The 17,731-nt window shown below is 45.0% G+C and overlaps 1 protein-coding gene across 1 annotated transcript in view, besides 1 other annotated feature; it reads left to right on the forward strand.

Annotated features, from left to right (window-relative positions):
* Positions 1–14,257, forward strand: part of ACKR2 (atypical chemokine receptor 2) — a 57,842-nt gene extending 43,585 nt beyond the window's left edge. The window contains exon 3 of the mRNA NM_001296.5: positions 11,437–14,257. Coding sequence (NP_001287.2) covers positions 11,474–12,628 — 1,155 coding nt within the window. The 5' untranslated portion in view covers positions 11,437–11,473 and the 3' untranslated portion in view covers positions 12,629–14,257. The remainder of the gene's footprint in view (positions 1–11,436) is intronic.
* Positions 2,438–2,732: a silencer, noted in NCBI's record as "tiled region #10602; HepG2 Repressive DNase matched - State 5:Enh, and K562 Repressive non-DNase unmatched - State 7:EnhWF". NCBI's record gives its function as "represses a minimal TATA promoter and a strong SV40 promoter by Sharpr-MPRA in HepG2 and K562 cells {active_cell/tissue: HepG2 | K562}" and the evidence as "EXISTENCE:reporter gene assay evidence [ECO:0000049][PMID:27701403]".

Consider the following 17,731-nt stretch of genomic DNA (forward strand, 5'->3'; position numbering starts at 1 on the left):
AGCAATGACTGGGATAAAAAAAGGTATCTGGAAACACAAAGCCCTGTGTAAGTGTCAGGGCTGGTTTCTATTATCTTCATTGTGTTTTATAAATCACAATCTGAATATGCTTCCCATGCAGACCATCCAGAAGGCAGCTGTTCATCCTGCAAGCCCGAGGAAGGGGTGCACACAGGCTGAACTCCCAGTGTGTGATTTGGGGCTCCAGCTCTGGAGCCAGCTGCAGGAACTTGGTTTCCAGTTCTGCCATATACTTGCTGTGTGTCCTTGGGCACTTTACTCCCCTTCTCTGAGTCTCAGTTCCTCATCTGTAAAATGGGGCCCATTTTATAAGGTTATTGTGAGAAGTCAGTGCATTATTACATATAAAGCTCAGGGAAGGGGATCTACAACCTAGTTGTTATTATTGTTATTTTTTTGAGACAGGGTCTCGCTATGTTGCCCATGCTGGTCTCAAACTCCTAGGCTCAAGGAATCTACCAATCTCAGCCTCCCAAGTAGCTGGGACTATAGGTGCATGCCACTGCACCTGGCTGTGCTTACTATTTTCTTTGAGTGGTATTGTAACCTAGCATTTAAGAGCATGGACACCCATTTCAAATCCTGGCTCTACTACTCAATTGCTCTGTGATCTTGGACCAGTTCTCTAACTTCCCTGTGTTTTAGCATCCTCAGCTCTAAAACAGGGCTAATAATAGTATTTACTTCTATCAGGTAAATGTGAGGATTAAATAAATTAATATATTTAAAGCCCTTACCCTAGATTGTATTTTAAAGGAGGATATGATTTCCACATTCAAAGGAAGCCAGCAAAAGTATTTTCCACTAGAAGTGATCTCAAACGGTGTCCTTGGCTTCATATTTCAAAGGCTGGTGTGGCCTCTGGAGATCACATTCAGTCTTGTTTATTTGATCAGTTTGCATGTTGAATCAGCTGCACTGTGAACAGTACACTCAGGATGGGTGTGCTTTCAGCCCCTGAGGGACCTACACATGACCCTGTCCATAGGCTTCTTGGCTGTAGGTAGGGCGGCCGTGAAATTGATGTCTAAGATGGAAGAGGGGAGATGGTGGGAGACACAAAAGAGGGTTCGCTGAGTCAAGCAGGGTTTGGTCAAGCTCTGTGGGGGCCTGATCAGGGGAATGCTGGTGAAGGTTTGACAAGAAGCTCTGGGCTGGGGGCACAGGGGAGGTAGGATGGCAGAGGAGAGGAAAGCCTTGATTTATAGCATTTGCCATGGTGTAAATATTCCCAGTTTCAGGTTACCAACTTAACATCACTGAACGCAGAGTTGGTTAATTCCATGATCATTTGTTTAATGCCTCCCAGATGCCATATGACTGGCTCTCAGCACACCACTGGCTTTGAACCTTCCTGCCACTAGTTGCCGAGGCCAGAAGTCCCACTGTCGGAACCTCAACCTTCGAATTTAAGTTTGATCCATTTTGAAAGGGAGTGTGGGGGGGAAGGGGTCGTCACTTCCACCTCACGTTGTGAGGGCCATCCAATCCCCGGCCCCCCATTTGCTAATCTGAGGCTGTGGACAATTGGGCTTCACCTATCCACACCTGTTTCTTTATCTGGAAAGTGGGGATTATAATCACTTTGCTTCCCAGGACTATGGTGAAGATAGGATGAGAAAATTACATGTTAGTGTTCAACTCATAGAAGGAGCCCAACTAACATGCTGCATCCTCATCACAATATCTTTCCTCTTGTTGCCTCAACTGCGACTTTCCTGAGAGACCTAAGGGAGGTGAGCCCTGGATATCTCCCAGTGAGGGTAAGATCCTGGGCAACCAGCAAAGACTGAATCATACCTTTCTTTTTTTTTTTTTTTTTTGAGATGGAGTTTCACTCTTGTTGCCCAGGCTGTAGTGCAATGGTGTGATCTCAGCTCACTGCAACCTCTGCCTCCTGGGTTCAAGTGATTCTCCTACCTCAGCCTCCCAAGTAGCTGGGATTACAGGTGTGCACTACCATGCCCGGCTATTTTTTGTATTTTTAGTAGAGATGGGGTTTCGCCACGTTGACCAGGCTGGTCTCAAACTCCTGACCTCAGGTGATCCACCCACCTTGGCCTCCCAAAGTGCTGGAATTACAAGCATGAGCCACCACACCCAGCCTTCAATCACACCTTTCTCAGTGACTCCTTTTTGTAACTGCTAGGTAGAGCAGAACAGAGGCTAAGGATGAGGTGGGACCAGGGACAAGGTACCATGTGCCTGGAGTCTGAAGACTTGGATTTCAGATGCAACTTGACTAGTGACCCTGGTAAAGTTGCTTTGCTCCTGGGTTAAATGGGACTGATGGTTCCTTCCCAATTTGCCTTATAAGGCTGCTGCAGTGCATATGAAGGTGTCTGGCCAGCTGTAACATGCATATGGGAGTGCTGACTGCTGCTGTCATTGTTGGCATTATTGATGAAAGTGATAGGAGGGAATGGTTGCTCCAGAGGTGAGGGAGACCTGGAAAGATTCCCAGAGTGAAAGATCAGGGGTAAAGGCCTGATTGCTGTTGCCACTGTTGTTGGCATTATTGATGAAAGTGATAGGAGGATGGTTGCTCCATAGGTGAGGATGACCTGGAAAGATTCCCAGAGTGAGAGATCAGGAGGGCAAAGGCCTGATGGCTGTGGTCATTCTTGTTGGCTTTACTGATGAAAGTGATAGGAGGATGGTTGCTCCAGAAGTGAGGATGACCAGAAAAGATTCCCAGAGTGAAAGATCAGGAGGCTAAAGACCTCGAGTGGGAAGGGAATAGAGTGTTCCATGTAGAGAGAGAACAAAGGTGGCCTGGACTAGCAGGTTCTGCTGACTCTGACCTCTGGCTTTGATTGAAACATTCATCAGACTTGGTTGTTTGCTGAAACAAAAGTCAGGGGACTTCGAGAAATCAAGTCAAGATCAAGGTCCATGTCAGCAGCTCAGAAGAGCTGGTGTTTAATCAATGTCAACTCCTGAGTAATAAGCCCTGATAAGACCCGAGTATACTCCTCACATCCTCCTTCTGCAGCAGCTCACAGGCTCCCAGCACCAGCCATGTGCTAGGAGTGTCCTTACTGCTGCCCAGAAAAGGGAGGAGTTGAAGGCCAGGAGGCCCCTGGTGCAGAGGAGAGGACAGGAAGACCAGCAGAAAAAGGCACTGGGTAAAGTTCCTAAGGTTGATCAGGAACAGAGTTGGGCCTTAGATAAAGCCACTCAGGCTGAGCTCCTGGGGTGGGGGCAGGTCATGTGTGGTTTCCACAGCATCTGGTCCAGATGCCATCGGATAGGAGCCCAAGGGTGGGGCAGAAGCTCACAGAGTGGGAGGACTCCAGGGCTCCCTCAGGAGAGGTTCTGTTTCAGCAGCACTGAATAGTTCCATCAGCCATGAGATCATGGTATCATAGATACTTTGGGTCAACTGAGGACCCGAGTCAACATTTCTTTCGAAGTCTGCCTGAAAAAAGGGGATAAAACTTTTATCAGAAAGGGCTAAGGAAAATGTTTGCAATACATATGAAAAAAGCTAACATCCTCACTATTATAAGACCTCATAAAATGAGCATCCCACCCATTAAAAGAATAAATAATTTACAGAAGAAATACAAGGGGGTATTGAACATATTAAAAAGTTCAAGCTCATGCAAGTAAAATATTAAAAAGTAAAATTCAGAAGTACGGGGTAGAGCTGATTTGCATTTCTCAGTTTGTGGCCCGTGACCATCAGCAGTCTACAGGCCTCTCTTCAGTGGCTCTTCACGATTGCCTGCTTGGACCACAAATTCCTTTTTATCTCCTTCCTCTCTCCTCCTCAAGCCCCCTTCCCCATTGGTGAATGCTCTTTGTTCAATATGAAGTCTCTCTCTCTCCCTGTCTTTCTCCTGGAACACACTACAGGTTTGAGCCTAATTCTTAGTTCATGACATACTTGTATCACTGGTTTATGTGAAGCTCTCATCAAAAAATTATTTTAAATAATGCAATAAAATCCTGGGATGTCACTGCCTTAGAGGACACTTAACCGTGGACAGTGACTTGTCCCATCTCCATGGTCCACCCCAATCCCATGCTGCTGGCTTCTGCCCAGGCACCTGCCGTCTTGAATTTGGTGCCTCTCATTCCTATGCCTTCCTGTCATCTATTTGTACTCCTTCAAAGTATATATGTTTTGTTTCATTTGTCTTAATTTTATTAAAAGAGTATCTTGTACATATTTTTATGGGACTTAGAGATAAGTGGGCTGATTCAAGAGGAGAGACTCACAGGGTGGTGGTGGTGAGGATGATGGGGAAAGAATCTGCAAGGTATCCCATATTTCAGTCTTAGGTGACTGAGTAGTTGGTGGAGTCATTCAGTTAGATAGGCCTAGGAAAGAAGAAAGGGGCTGGTGGGGAGATGATGAACTCAGTTCTGGGCAAAGCAATAATTTAGGCTCGCATTTATTGAATGTCTGCTGTGTTCCAGTCAGTTTTGTAGAACTTAAAGTGCTCTGCATGTATTATTACATTTAAGCATAACAAGAACCTCACAAGACAGGCACTGTTATTATTTTCATTTTAAAGATAAGGAAACTAAGAGGGAGAAAAGTTTAGTAGGTTCTGAGCCCATCAACATGATGGATCACACCTTTCTGCTGCGAACAGAAATATTGGATAAAATGTTTAAAATATTAAATATTTGTCATTAAAAATATTGATATGAAACTATTTACAAATAAAATATTTAAAAATTCTCAAAAAGCAAGGGAAATCCTCAGGTGACAGGAGTAAAGAAAACCCAAAGCCAGGGTGGATGCATTGGACATTTATGGATAAAACAAGCCCCACTGGCATCTGCCATTACTGAGGCTTGAGTAGGCGGTTTTCCCCTCGCAGTGTAAACAAAGCCACTGGGAAGTTCGAACTGGGCAGAGCCCACCGTAGCTTGGCAAAGCCACTGTAGCCAGACTGCCTCTCTAGATTCCTCCTCTCCGGGCAGGGCATCTCTGAAAGAAAGGCAGCAGCCCCAGTCAGGGGCTTATAGATAAAACTCGCATTTCCCTGGGCCAGAGCACCTGGGGGAAGGGGCAGCTATGGGCGCAGCTTTGGCAGACTTAAATGTTCCTGCCTGCCGGCTCTGAAGAGAGCAGTGGATCTCCCAGCACAGCACTTGAGCTCTGCTAAGGGACAGACTGCCTCCTCAAGTGGGTCCCTGACCCCTTTGCCTCCTGACTGGGAGACACCTCCCAGCAGGGGTTGACAGATACCTCATACAGGAGAGCTCTGGCTAGCATCTGGCGGTGCCCCTCTGGGACGAAGCTTCCAGAGGAAGAAACAGGCAGCAATATTTGCTGTTTTGCAGCCTCTGCTAGTGATACCCAGGCAAACAGGTCTGGAGTGGACCTCCAGCAAACTCCAGCAGACCTGCAGCAGAGGGGCCTGACTGTTAGAAGGAAAACTAACAAACAGAAAGGAATAGCATCAACATCAACAAAAGAGACATCCACACAGAAACCCCATCTGAAGGCCACCAACATCAAAGACCAAAGGTAGATAAATCCATGAAGATGAGGAAAAACCAGTGCAAAAAGGCTGAAAATTCCAAAAACCAGAACACCTCTTCTCCTCCAAATGATCACAACTCCTTGCAGGCAAGGGAACAAAACTGGATGGAGAATGAGTTTGATGAATTGACAGAACTAGGCTTCAGAAGGTGGGTAATAACAAACTCCTCTGAGCTAAAGGAGCATGTTCTAACCCAATGCAAGGAAGCTAAGAACCTTGAAAAAAGGTTAGAGGAATTGCTAACTAGCAAAACCAGTTTAGAGAAGAATATAAATGACCTGATGGAGCTGAAAAACACAGCATGAGAACTTTGTGAAGCATACACAAGGATCAATAGCTGAATCAATCAAGCAGAAGAAAGGATATCAGAGATTGAAGATCAACTTAATGAAATAAAGTGTGAAGACACAATTAGAGAAAAAAGAATATAAAGGAACGAACAAAGCCTCCAAGAAATATGAGACTATGTGAAAAGACCAAGCCTACGTTTGATTGGTGTACCTGAAAGTGACGGAGGGAATGGAACCAAGTTGGAAAACACTCTTCAGGATATTATCCAGGAGAACTTCCCCAACCTAGCAAGACAGGCCAACATTCAAATTCAGGAAATACAGAGAACACCACAAAGATACTCCTCGAGAAGAACAACCCCAAGATACATAATTTTCAGATTCACCAATGTTGAAATGAAGGAAAAAATGTTAAGGGCAGCCAGAGAGAAAGGTCAGGTTACCTACAGAGGGAAGCCCATCAGACTAACAGCTGATCTCTCTGCAGAAACTCTACAAGCCAGAAGAGAGTGGGGGTCCAATATTCAACATTCATTTTTTTTTTTTTTTGAGACAGAGTCTCACTCTGTTGCCCAGGCTGGAGTGCAGTGGCGCGGTCTTGGCTCACTGCAAGCTCCACCTCCTGGGTTCACGCCATTCTCCTGCCTCAGCCTCCTGAGTGGCTGGGACTAGAGGCGCCCGCCACCATGCCCAGCTAATTTTTTTTTGTATTTTTAGTAGAGATGGGGTTTCACCGTGTTAGCCAGGATGGTCTCGATCTCCTGACCTTGTGATCTGCTCACCTCGGCCTCCCAAAGTGCTGGGATCACAGACGTGAGCCGCCGCGCCTGGCCTTCAACATTCTTAAAGAGAAGAATTTTCAACCCAGAATTTCATATCCAGCCAAACTAAGCTTCATGAGTGAAGGAGAAATAAAATCCTTTACAGACAAGCAAATGCTGAGAGATTTTGTCACAACCAGGCCTGCCTTACAAGAGCTCCTAAAGGAAGCACTAAACATGGAAAGAACAAACTGGTACCAGCCACCACAAAAACATACCAAATTGTAAAGACCATTGACACTATGAAGAAACTGCATCAACTAATGGGAAAAATAACCAGCTAGCATCATAATGACAGAATCAAATTCACGCATAACAATATTAACCTTAAATGTAAACAGGTTAAATGCCCCAATTAAAAGACACTGACTGGCAAATTGGATAGAGAGTCAAGACCCATCGGTGTGCTGTATTCAGGAGACTCATCTCACGTCCAAAGACACACATAGGCTCAAAATAAAGGGATGGAGGAATATTTATCAAGCAAATGGAAAGCAAAAAAAAAAAAAAAAAAAAAAAAAGCAGGGGATGCAATCCTAGTCTCTGATAAAACAGACTTTAAGCCAACAAAGATCAAAAAGACAAAAAAGGGCATTACATAATGGTAAAGGGATCAATGCAACACGAAGAGCTAACTATCCTAAATATATATGCACCCAAAACAGGAGCACCCAGATTCATAAAGCAAGTTCTCAGAGACCTACAAAGAGACTTAGACTCCCACACAATAATGGGAGACTTTAACACCCCACTGTCAATAGTAGACAGATCAGCAAGACAGAAAATTAACAAGGATATTCAGGACTTGAACTCACCTCTGGACCAAGTGGACCTAGTAGACATCTACAGAACTCTCCACCCTAAATCAACAGAATATACATTCTTCTCAGCATCCTGATACCACAACATCACACTTATTCTAAAACTGACCACATAATTGGAAGTAAAACAGTCCTCAGCAAATGCAAAAGAATGGAAATCATAACAAACAGTCTCTCAGACCACAGTGCAATCAAGTTAGAGTTCAAGATTAAGAAACTTGCTCAAAACTATACAACTACATGGAAACTGAATAACCTGCTCCAGAATGACTACTGGGTAAATAATGAAGTGAAGGCAGAAATAAATAAGCTCTTTGAAACCAATGAGAACAAAGACACAATGTACTAGAATCTCTGGAACACAGCTAAAGCAGTGTTTACAGGGAAATTTATAGCACTAAATGACCACAGGAGAAAGCAGGAAAGATTTAAAATCGACAGCCTAACATCACAATTAAAAGAACTAGAGAAGCAAAAGCAAACAAATTCAAAAGCTAGCAGAAGACAAGAAATAACTAAGATCAGAGCAGAACTGAAGGAGAGAGAGAGATGAAAAACCCTTCAAAAAATCAATGAATCCAGGAGCTGGTTTTTTGAAAAGATCAACAAAATAGATAGACCACTAGCCAGACTGATAAACAAGAAAGGAGACACGAATCAAATAGACACAATAAAAAATGATAAAGAGGATATCACCATTGATCCCACAGAAATACAAACTACGATCAGAGAATACTATAAACACCTCTACACAAATAAGCTAGAAAATCTAGAAGAAATGGATAAATTCCTGGACACATACGCCCTCCCAAGACTAAACCAGGAAGAAGTCGAATCCCTGAATAGATCATTCACAAGTTCTGAAATTGAGGCAGTAATTAATGGCCTCCCAACCATAAAAAGCCCAGGACCAGGCAGATTCACAGCTGAATTCTATCACAGGTACAAAGAGGAGCTGGTACCATTCCTTGTGAAACTATTCTAAACAATAGAAAAAAGAGGGAATCCTCTTTAACTCATTTTATGAGGCCAGCATCATCCTGATACCAAAACCTGGCAAAGACACAACAAAAAAAGAAAATTTCAGGCCAATATCCCTGATGAACATCGATGCAAAAATCCTCAATAAAATGCTGGCAAACCAAATCAAGCAGCACATCAAAAAGCTTATCTACCACCATCAAGTCGGCCTCATCCCTGGGATGCAAGGTTGGTTCAACATACACAAATCAATAAATGTAATCCAGCACATAAACAGAACCAATGACAAAAACCACATTATTTTCTCAATAGATGCAGAAAAGGCCTTCGATAAAATTCAACACCCCTTCATGCTAAAAACTCAATAAACTAGGTACTGATGGAACATATCTCAAAATAATAAGAGCTATTGGTGACAAACCCACAGCCAATATCATACTGAATGGGCAGAATCTGGAAGCATTCCCTTTGAAAACCGGCACAAGACAAGGATGCCCTCTCTCACCACTCCTGTTCAACATAGTATTGGAAGTTCTGGCCAGGGCAATCAGGCAAAGAGAAAGAAATAAAGCGTATTCGAATAGGAAGAGAGGAAGTCAAATTGTCTCTGTTTGCAGATGACATGATTGTATATTTAGAAAACCCCATCGCCTCAGCCCAAAATCTCCTTAAGCTGATAAGCAACTTCAGCAAAGTCTCAGAATACAAAATCAATGTGCAAAAATCAAAAGCATTCCTATACAACAGTAACAGACAGAGAGCTAAATAATGAGTGAACTCCCATTCACAAATGCTACAAAGAGAATAAAATACCTAAGAATACAACTTACAAGGGATGTGAAGAACCTCTTCAAGGAGAACTACAAACCACTGCTCAAGGAAATAAGAGAAGACACAAACAAATAGAAAAACATTCCACGCTCATGGATAGGAAAAATGAATATCGTGAAAATGGCCATACTGCCCAAAGTGATTTATAGATTCAATGCTATCCCCATCAAGCTACCACTGACTTTATTCACAGACTTAGAAAAAACTACTTTAAATTTTATATGGAACCAAAAAGAGCCCATATAGCCAAGACAATCCTAAGCAAAAAGAAAAAAGCTGGAGGCATCACGCTACCTGACTTCAAACTATACTACAAGTCTACAGTAACGAAAACAGCATGGTACTGCTACCAAAACAGATATATAAACAAATGGAACAGAACAGAGGCCTCAGAAATAACATCACAGGTCTACAACCATCTGATCTTTGACAAACCTGACAAAAACAAGCAATGGGGAAAGGATTCTCTATCTAATAAATGGTGTTGGGAAAACTGGCTAGCCATATGCAAAGAACTGAAACTGGACCCATTCCTTACACCTTATACAAAAATAAACTCAAGGTGGATTAAAGACCTAAACATAAGACCTAAAATCGTAAAACCCTAGAAGAAAGCTAGGCAATACCATTCAGGACATAGGCATTGGCAAAGACTTCATGACTAAAACACCAAAAGCAATGGCAACAAAAGCCAAAATTGACAAATGGGATCTAATTAAACTAAAGAGCTTCTGCACAGCAAAATAAACTATCATCAGAGTGAACAGACAACCTATAGAATGGGAGAAATTTTTGCAATCTATCCATCTGACAAAGGGCTAATATCCAGAATCTACAAAGAACTTAAACAAATTTACAAGAAGAAAACAACCCCATCAAAAAGTGGGTGAAGGATATGAACAGATACTTCTCAAAAGAAGACATTTATGCAGTCAACAAACATATGAAAAAAAAGCTCATCATCACTGGGCATTAGAGAAATGCAAATAAAAACCACAATGAGATGAGATACCATCTAACCCCAGTTAGAATGATGATCATTAAAAAGTCAGGATAAAACAGATGCTTGAGAGGATGTGGAGAAATAGGAATGCTTTTACACTGTTGGTGGGAGTGTAAATTAGTTCAACCATTGTGGAAGACAGTGTGGTGATTCCTCAAGGATCTAGAACCAGAAATACCATTTGACCCAGAAATCCCATTACTGGGTATATACCCAAAGGATTATTAATCATTCTACTATAAAGACACATGCACACATATGCTTATTGCAGCACTGTTCACAATAGCAAAGACTTGGAGCCAACCCAAATGCCCATCAATGATAGACTGGATAAAGAAAATGTAGCACATACACAGCATGGAATACTATGCAGCCATAAAATGGATGAGTTCATGTCCTTTGCAGGGACATGGATGAAGCTGGAAGCCATCATTCTCAGCAAACTAACATAAGAACAGAAAACAAAACACTGCATGTTCTCACTCATAAGTGGGAGTTGAACAATGATAACACATGGACACAGGGAGGGGAACATCACACATCTGGGCCTGTTGGGGGATTGGGGGCTAGGGGAGGGATAACATTAGAAGAAATACCTAATGTAAATGACAGATTGATGGGTGCAGCAAACCACCATGGTATGTATATACCTATGTAACAAACCTGCACGTTTTGTACATGTATCCCAGAACTTAAAGTATAATAAACAAAATTTTTTAAAAAAGCCCCACTGAAGCTAAGCTGTCATTAAAGAAATTATAAACCATACATGAGGAAGGGTCAGGAGACACATTAAATAGATGAATTGATATCCCTAAAGAATAAAGAAGAATTTGAAAGACACTATAGGTCTTTTTAAATGAAGAAACAAAACCATAATGAAATAATTAAATACTCTGAGAACACCTGAAGGTTAGTCACTTATCCAAGAGTAAGTGTCCCAGAGTAAGTGGGATTCAGTTATAAGACAAAGGTGAGGGGATATCTTGGTGACATAACTATTAAGTGGTGCAGATGGCTCCCTAAGCTTTTGCTCTTACTTGCTGGACTGCAGGTACTGATGTAGATTTGAAGAGTCTATTGGACATCCCAGGGCAGCAGCAAAAGTGGGTTTAGAGAAAGGTAGAGAATGCTAGGTCTCACCATATTTTCCCCCCGCAGCACTACAGGACGTCGGGACTGGGCATTTCCTTCCAACATGGCCGCCACTGCCTCTCCGCAGCCACTCGCCACTGAGGATGCCGATTCTGAGAATAGCAGCTTCTATTACTATGACTACCTGGATGAAGTGGCCTTCATGCTCTGCAGGAAGGATGCAGTGGTGTCCTTTGGCAAAGTCTTCCTCCCAGTCTTCTATAGCCTGATTTTTGTGTTGGGCCTCAGCGGGAACCTCCTTCTTCTCATGGTCTTGCTCCGTTACGTGCCTCGCAGGCGGATGGTTGAGATCTATCTGCTGAATCTGGCCATCTCCAACCTTCTGTTTCTGGTGACACTGCCCTTCTGGGGCATCTCCGTGGCCTGGCATTGGGTCTTCGGGAGTTTCTTGTGCAAGATGGTGAGCACTCTTTATACTATTAACTTTTACAGTGGCATCTTTTTCATTAGCTGCATGAGCCTGGACAAGTACCTGGAGATCGTTCATGCTCAGCCCTACCACAGGCTGAGGACCCGGGCCAAGAGCCTGCTCCTTGCTACCATAGTATGGGCTGTGTCCCTGGCCGTCTCCATCCCTGATATGGTCTTTGTACAGACACATGAAAATCCCAAGGGTGTGTGGAACTGCCACGCAGATTTCGGCGGGCATGGGACCATTTGGAAGCTCTTCCTCCGCTTCCAGCAGAACCTCCTAGGGTTTCTCCTTCCACTCCTTGCCATGATCTTCTTCTACTCCCGTATTGGTTGTGTCTTGGTGAGGCTGAGGCCCGCAGGCCAGGGCCGGGCTTTAAAAATAGCTGCAGCCTTGGTGGTGGCCTTCTTCGTGCTATGGTTCCCATACAATCTCACCTTGTTTCTGCATACGCTGTTGGACCTGCAAGTATTCGGGAACTGTGAGGTCAGCCAGCATCTAGACTACGCACTCCAGGTAACAGAGAGCATCGCCTTCCTTCACTGCTGCTTTTCCCCCATCCTGTATGCCTTCTCCAGTCACCGCTTCCGCCAGTACCTGAAGGCTTTCCTGGCTGCCGTGCTTGGATGGCACCTGGCACCTGGCACTGCCCAGGCCTCATTATCCAGCTGTTCTGAGAGCAGCATACTTACTGCCCAAGAGGAAATGACTGGCATGAATGACCTTGGAGAGAGGCAGTCTGAGAACTACCCTAACAAGGAGGATGTGGGGAATAAATCAGCCTGAGTGACCAAATTTTGGTCTGGTGGGAACAGATGGGAACCAGCTCAATTGGGTGTCCACTCAAAGTGCTCTCTCCAGGGGCCTCAGTGACTGTGTTGCTAAACCCAGTGGTCAGTTCTCAGTTCTCAGCCATCAGCAGCATTTGCTCGCCCCGCCTTCTTCCTCCACTTTCTTCACTTGCTTCCAGGATACCACGCTTTCTTTTCTGAATTGCTACAATCTTTCTTCCTTCCTTCCTTGCTTCCTTCCTTCCTTCCTTCCCTCTCTCCCTCCCTCCCTCCCTCGCTTCTTCCCTTCCTCCTTTCCTCCCTTCCTACTTTCCTTCCTTCCTTCTGACAGGGTCTTGCTCTATTGCTCTGTCACCCAGGCTGGAATGCAGTGGCGAGATCTCCGCTCACTGTAGCCTCCTCCCCCTGGGTTGAAGCAATTCTCATGCCTCAGCCTCCCAAGTAGCCAGGACTATAGGCACCTGCCACCATGCCTGGCTAATTTTTGTATTTTTTTTCTTTCTTTCTTTCTTTTCTTTTTTTTTTTTTTTTGAGACGGAGTCTCACTCTTGTTGCCCAGGCTGGACAACAATGGCGCGATCTCGGCTCACTGCAACCTCCACCTCCCGGATTCAAGCGATTCTCCTGCCTCAGCCTCCTGAGTAGCTGGAACTACATGCGCGTGCCACCACGCACAGCTAATTTTTATAATTTTAGTAGAGATGGGGTTTCACTGCGTTGGCCAGGATGATCTCGATCTCTTGACCTTGGGATCCACCCGCCTTGGCCTCCCAAAGTGCTGGGATTACAGGTGTGAGCCACCATGCCTGGCCCTAATTTTTGTGTTTTTATTAGAAACAGAGTTTCACCATGTTGGCCAGGCTGGAGAATTGCTGTAATAGTTTTCCAACTGGCCCCTGTCCTTCCTCTCTCTTGCTCTCCTCCCATCTCATCTGCACCTAGCAGCCAGAGTGATCCTGATACTCTCGGCCTTTACTTCCGCCTCCCTCAGAGCAGCAGCCTGTCAAAACACCAGATTACAACAAATTTAGTTTAAAGGTCTCAATTAGCGTTATTGGCAATTCTAGAATCAGGCAACAGACTCATTGAATCAGGAACAGATTCACTCCATAAAATACAGAGAGTGCTGCAATGAGCTGGGTAGAAGAGGTTAGTTTTATAGACAGGAAGGGGCTGTCAAAGGCAGAAAGAAATGAAGAACAAAAAAAAAGATTGATTTTTTTTTTTTTGAGACAGGATCTCACTCTGTCATCCAGGCTGAAGTCCAATCCCACAATCATGGCTCACTGCAGCCACCACCTCCTGAGCTCAAGTGATCCTCCCATCTAAGCCCCCAAGTAGCTAGGACTACAGGAGCACACCACCACACCTGGCTAATTTTTGTATTTTTTGTGGAGACAGGGTCTCAGTATGTTACCCAGGTTGGACTGGAAACCCTTGGCTCAAGCAATTTGCCTGCCTCAGCCTCCCAAAGTGCTGGGATTACAGGCGTGAGCCACTGCACAGGGCCAGATTCATCATTTCAAAGTTACTTTCTATATGCGGCCGGAACAGGGTGGTTGACATCAGTTTTCTTCAGGTTACTTTTTAATAATGATTAAAACGGGGAACTTCATTATCATGAGCATGGTTACTGTCTGCATTATTACGCCAACTGAAACTGTCATGTTTGGGAATTTGGCTGTTAACTCTGTCTCCAGGAGTCTCAAAGGTCAGATAACAACTTAGTTTTGGTTTGAGGACATGGAACTTTAATACGACAGATTCCATTTTGGTTTGGTCTGGTCAGCTGGGACCTAGTGCAGGAGGTTAGTCCAAAACAATGGCCTTCCATAGTTTTTACTTAACAAGCCCAACTCCTTACGGTAATCCTTTAAGGCCTATGTGATCTGCCCTCACCCTGGCTACACTCTTTGCCCTTATGTCCACCAGCCTCCAGTGCTCCAGACACAACTGATCTCAAATACTCCTGACACATCCCCCTGGGGATTCCTCTTCCTGGATTGCTCTCCTCTCAGCTGTCTGCTTGGCTCACTCTCTCACCTTCTGAGGTCTTAGCTCAGATACCACCTTTCACTCACCTGTCCAACCTATTTAACACAAACTGGCCCATCTCTGACGCTCCTGATCTTCCTGATGCTCTATTTTTAAATTTTTTCAATAGTGCTTATTTCTTTCAGACATTGTATATGTTTCTCCTATTTGTGATGTTCAGTGGCTACTGTCCCCACCCACATTGTCCCAGGTGAATTCCACAAGGTAGGGATCTTGGTTAGGCTCACTGCTGTACCCAACCCCCTAACACAGGGCCTGGTGTGTAGGTTTTCAGAAAGTATCTGTAAAATGCATGGGTGGAGGAGGGAGCATTTTCCTTCTGGCACTGCTGGGGAAAAAGAACCTAAGGCCCTCCACTCACCAGGGTTCCACATTCTCTGTAGTCCAGCTGGGAAATGCTATTAAAAGGACCATTCTCGTAGCCTTGATGGTGGACCCAGCATCTGGCAATCAGGAGGGCCTTGAAGTACTCTGCCTAGGGAATGTCCCAGGACCATATACAGTCTGCAGAAGGAGGCAGTGAACACACTTGGCCTAGGCCCCATCTCAGGAGCCTTCACATCTCCCTGGGACCTGCACAATCAAGTCCAAAATCTTTGTCTGATGTCAAGGCTAGGGCTTTTGCAAATAGGATCCCATACATCTTCCAGCCCTCATACTCCTCCACTCCCTTTTCATTTCCTGAACATTCCAACTTCTATGCCTTTGCTCTTGTGGGCTCCCTCATGTAATTAGGATAATTTCCAGCCAGGTATTCCCTCACCCTTGTTTTACAACTGAATCCCACTTTCTCTGGGACTCCACTGCTTGGTCACTCTGCCCTGTGCTTTGAGAGGAGGTTGGGTGGAGCATGGGACATGGGCCATTTACTGCCTTCACATTTCCCTGGTCACGGTGATTTTTTTAGGGGTGGGCACATGACCTAGGTAGAGCCAATGAAGTGCAATATCACTAGAACATGTGAGAAGAGAGGCATGAAACCGAAGCTGAGAGGGTTTGAGATCTGGAGCTACTCCTTCCTCCACCCAAACTTCAGAAGGTGAAGGAGATAGTGCATGTGAGTGAGCAGATCCCGAGGGCACTGTTTGAGCCTCAGAATCAAAGCACTTCTGAAGCTAGTCCCAATCTTGGATTCGACAGTTACAAGAACCAATAAATTCCTTTCCTTGTGGAGTCATGTTGTTTTGTTACTTGCAACCTAAAGATTCCTGACTGATATACTGTGCCCAGTGCTTTTCTCTTCATATCTCTAATGCTTGGCATTCTCCCTGCCCCCTGACACATCCACTGAGAAGCCTTTCCCCAGGGAGCTGCCTGCCCACATGGCATCTCTCTCTCCCGAGCTTCTAAAGCACCCACTGCTCTTCCCACCTCATAGAACTACCTGGTGCAACCTGCCCACGTCCCAGCATGTCTGCCCTGCACAATTGAACGTGGAACCTGGCACACAGGAAAGGAAACTTTTTGGTGGATGGAATGGAGGGTAGGAGAACAGACGGCTGGGTGAATGTAAGCTCCATGAGAGCAGGGACTTTGCCATGTGTAAACTCTGCATCCCCTGTGCTTCAACACATGCTCAGAGCATAGTAGACTTTTTTTGGAATGAATGGATAAGTTTTTTTGTTTCGTTTTGTTTTGTTTTTTGGAGCGAATGGCTGATAGAGGATTGAGCAGGCAAGCAGTATTCTGCCCGCTATTTCTTCTCTTCCCCTGAGCTTTTGATGGCATAGTTATAGCACATGTGTCACATGCTATCTGGCAGTCTCTTGATGTAGCACCAGTTGCCCTGTGCCTTCCCCACATCCAATCTCTCTCAGCTCTGCCTTTAGTTCTCTCTCCTCAAGGCCCCCAATTCCCCACCATGAGGAAGGACTCTGAGCTTCCTAGTTCCCTGGGAAATGAAGCTCTAGATCTGAAGGTGGATGTTTGTTTGAGGACGCGGAGGATGGAATTCTACTTTAGAGCTCCGGAAATCTTGTCCTACAAGGAACTTCTGTTCGTATGCCAGCCTGGCTGGTGAGATACAGCCTGAGCTGCACCAACAGGGTCTAGGTGCTCAGAGGCCCTGACTTTGTGCCCATGATGCACAGATAGGATGTCAAGCAAGGGACACCCAGCAGGGCTTGTCACACCAGCATTGGTGGATTTGTGTGTGTGTGTGTGTGTCTATCTGTCTGGGAAGTACGTGTGCTATGTGGGCTGTGTGTAGTATATATGGTTGTGTATGTGGTTATGATGCAGCTGTATCACTGTGTCCAAGTGGGTCTGGTTATGTGCCTGCAACTTTCCTATTCTTTCTTTTTTTGAGACGGAGTCTTGCTGGAGTGCAGTGACATGATCCCAGCTCACTGCAACCTCTGCCTCCCAGGTTCAAGCAATTCCTGTGCCTCAGCCTCCAGAGTAGCTGGGATTACAGGCATGAGCTAACTTTTGTATTTTTGTATTTTTAATAGAGACAGGGTTTCGCCATGTTGGCCAGGCTGGTCTCAAACTTCTGAGCTAAAGTGATCTGCCCACCTCGGCCTCCCAAAGTGCTGGGATTACAGGCATGAGCCACTTCGCCCAGTCCTATTTGTCTTTCATGCCTTTCTCTGTGTATGTGTGAGTGTGTACTTGCCGCAAAAGGCAGGAATATAACAAGTAGTGCCCTGAAGCCTATGTCCAAAGGAGAGGGCAAGAGCTAGCTGCAGGTACCTGGTTCTCTGTCACTGTCTTAGGTGCAATATAGTTTGAGAGCAGCTCAGCAGCTCTCACAGCCCAGGCCAGGATAAAGCCCTCTCCACCCCAGCCTTACTTCCGGGTTTGGGCCTTGGTCCCTCCTGTTGCTCTCTGTCTTCCCAGAGGCCTGACAAAGTCTGGCTCCCTGACTGCACTGCTCAAACCTTTCCCAGGGGTCTCAGGAAAGCAATCAGAATTCCTCTGACCCTCAGGCTCTGAGGCAAGGTGGACTCTTCCCATGGGCCAACCTAGGGAGAAGTGTAGAAGTTGCTTTGCCTGTGGGCAGGGCTGCTGCCTGTGCTGAACGCCACGAAATGTGATGTTT

This window comes from Homo sapiens, chromosome 3 (genome assembly GCF_000001405.40).
Source record: "Homo sapiens chromosome 3, GRCh38.p14 Primary Assembly".
Taxonomy (NCBI): Eukaryota; Metazoa; Chordata; class Mammalia; order Primates; family Hominidae; genus Homo; species Homo sapiens.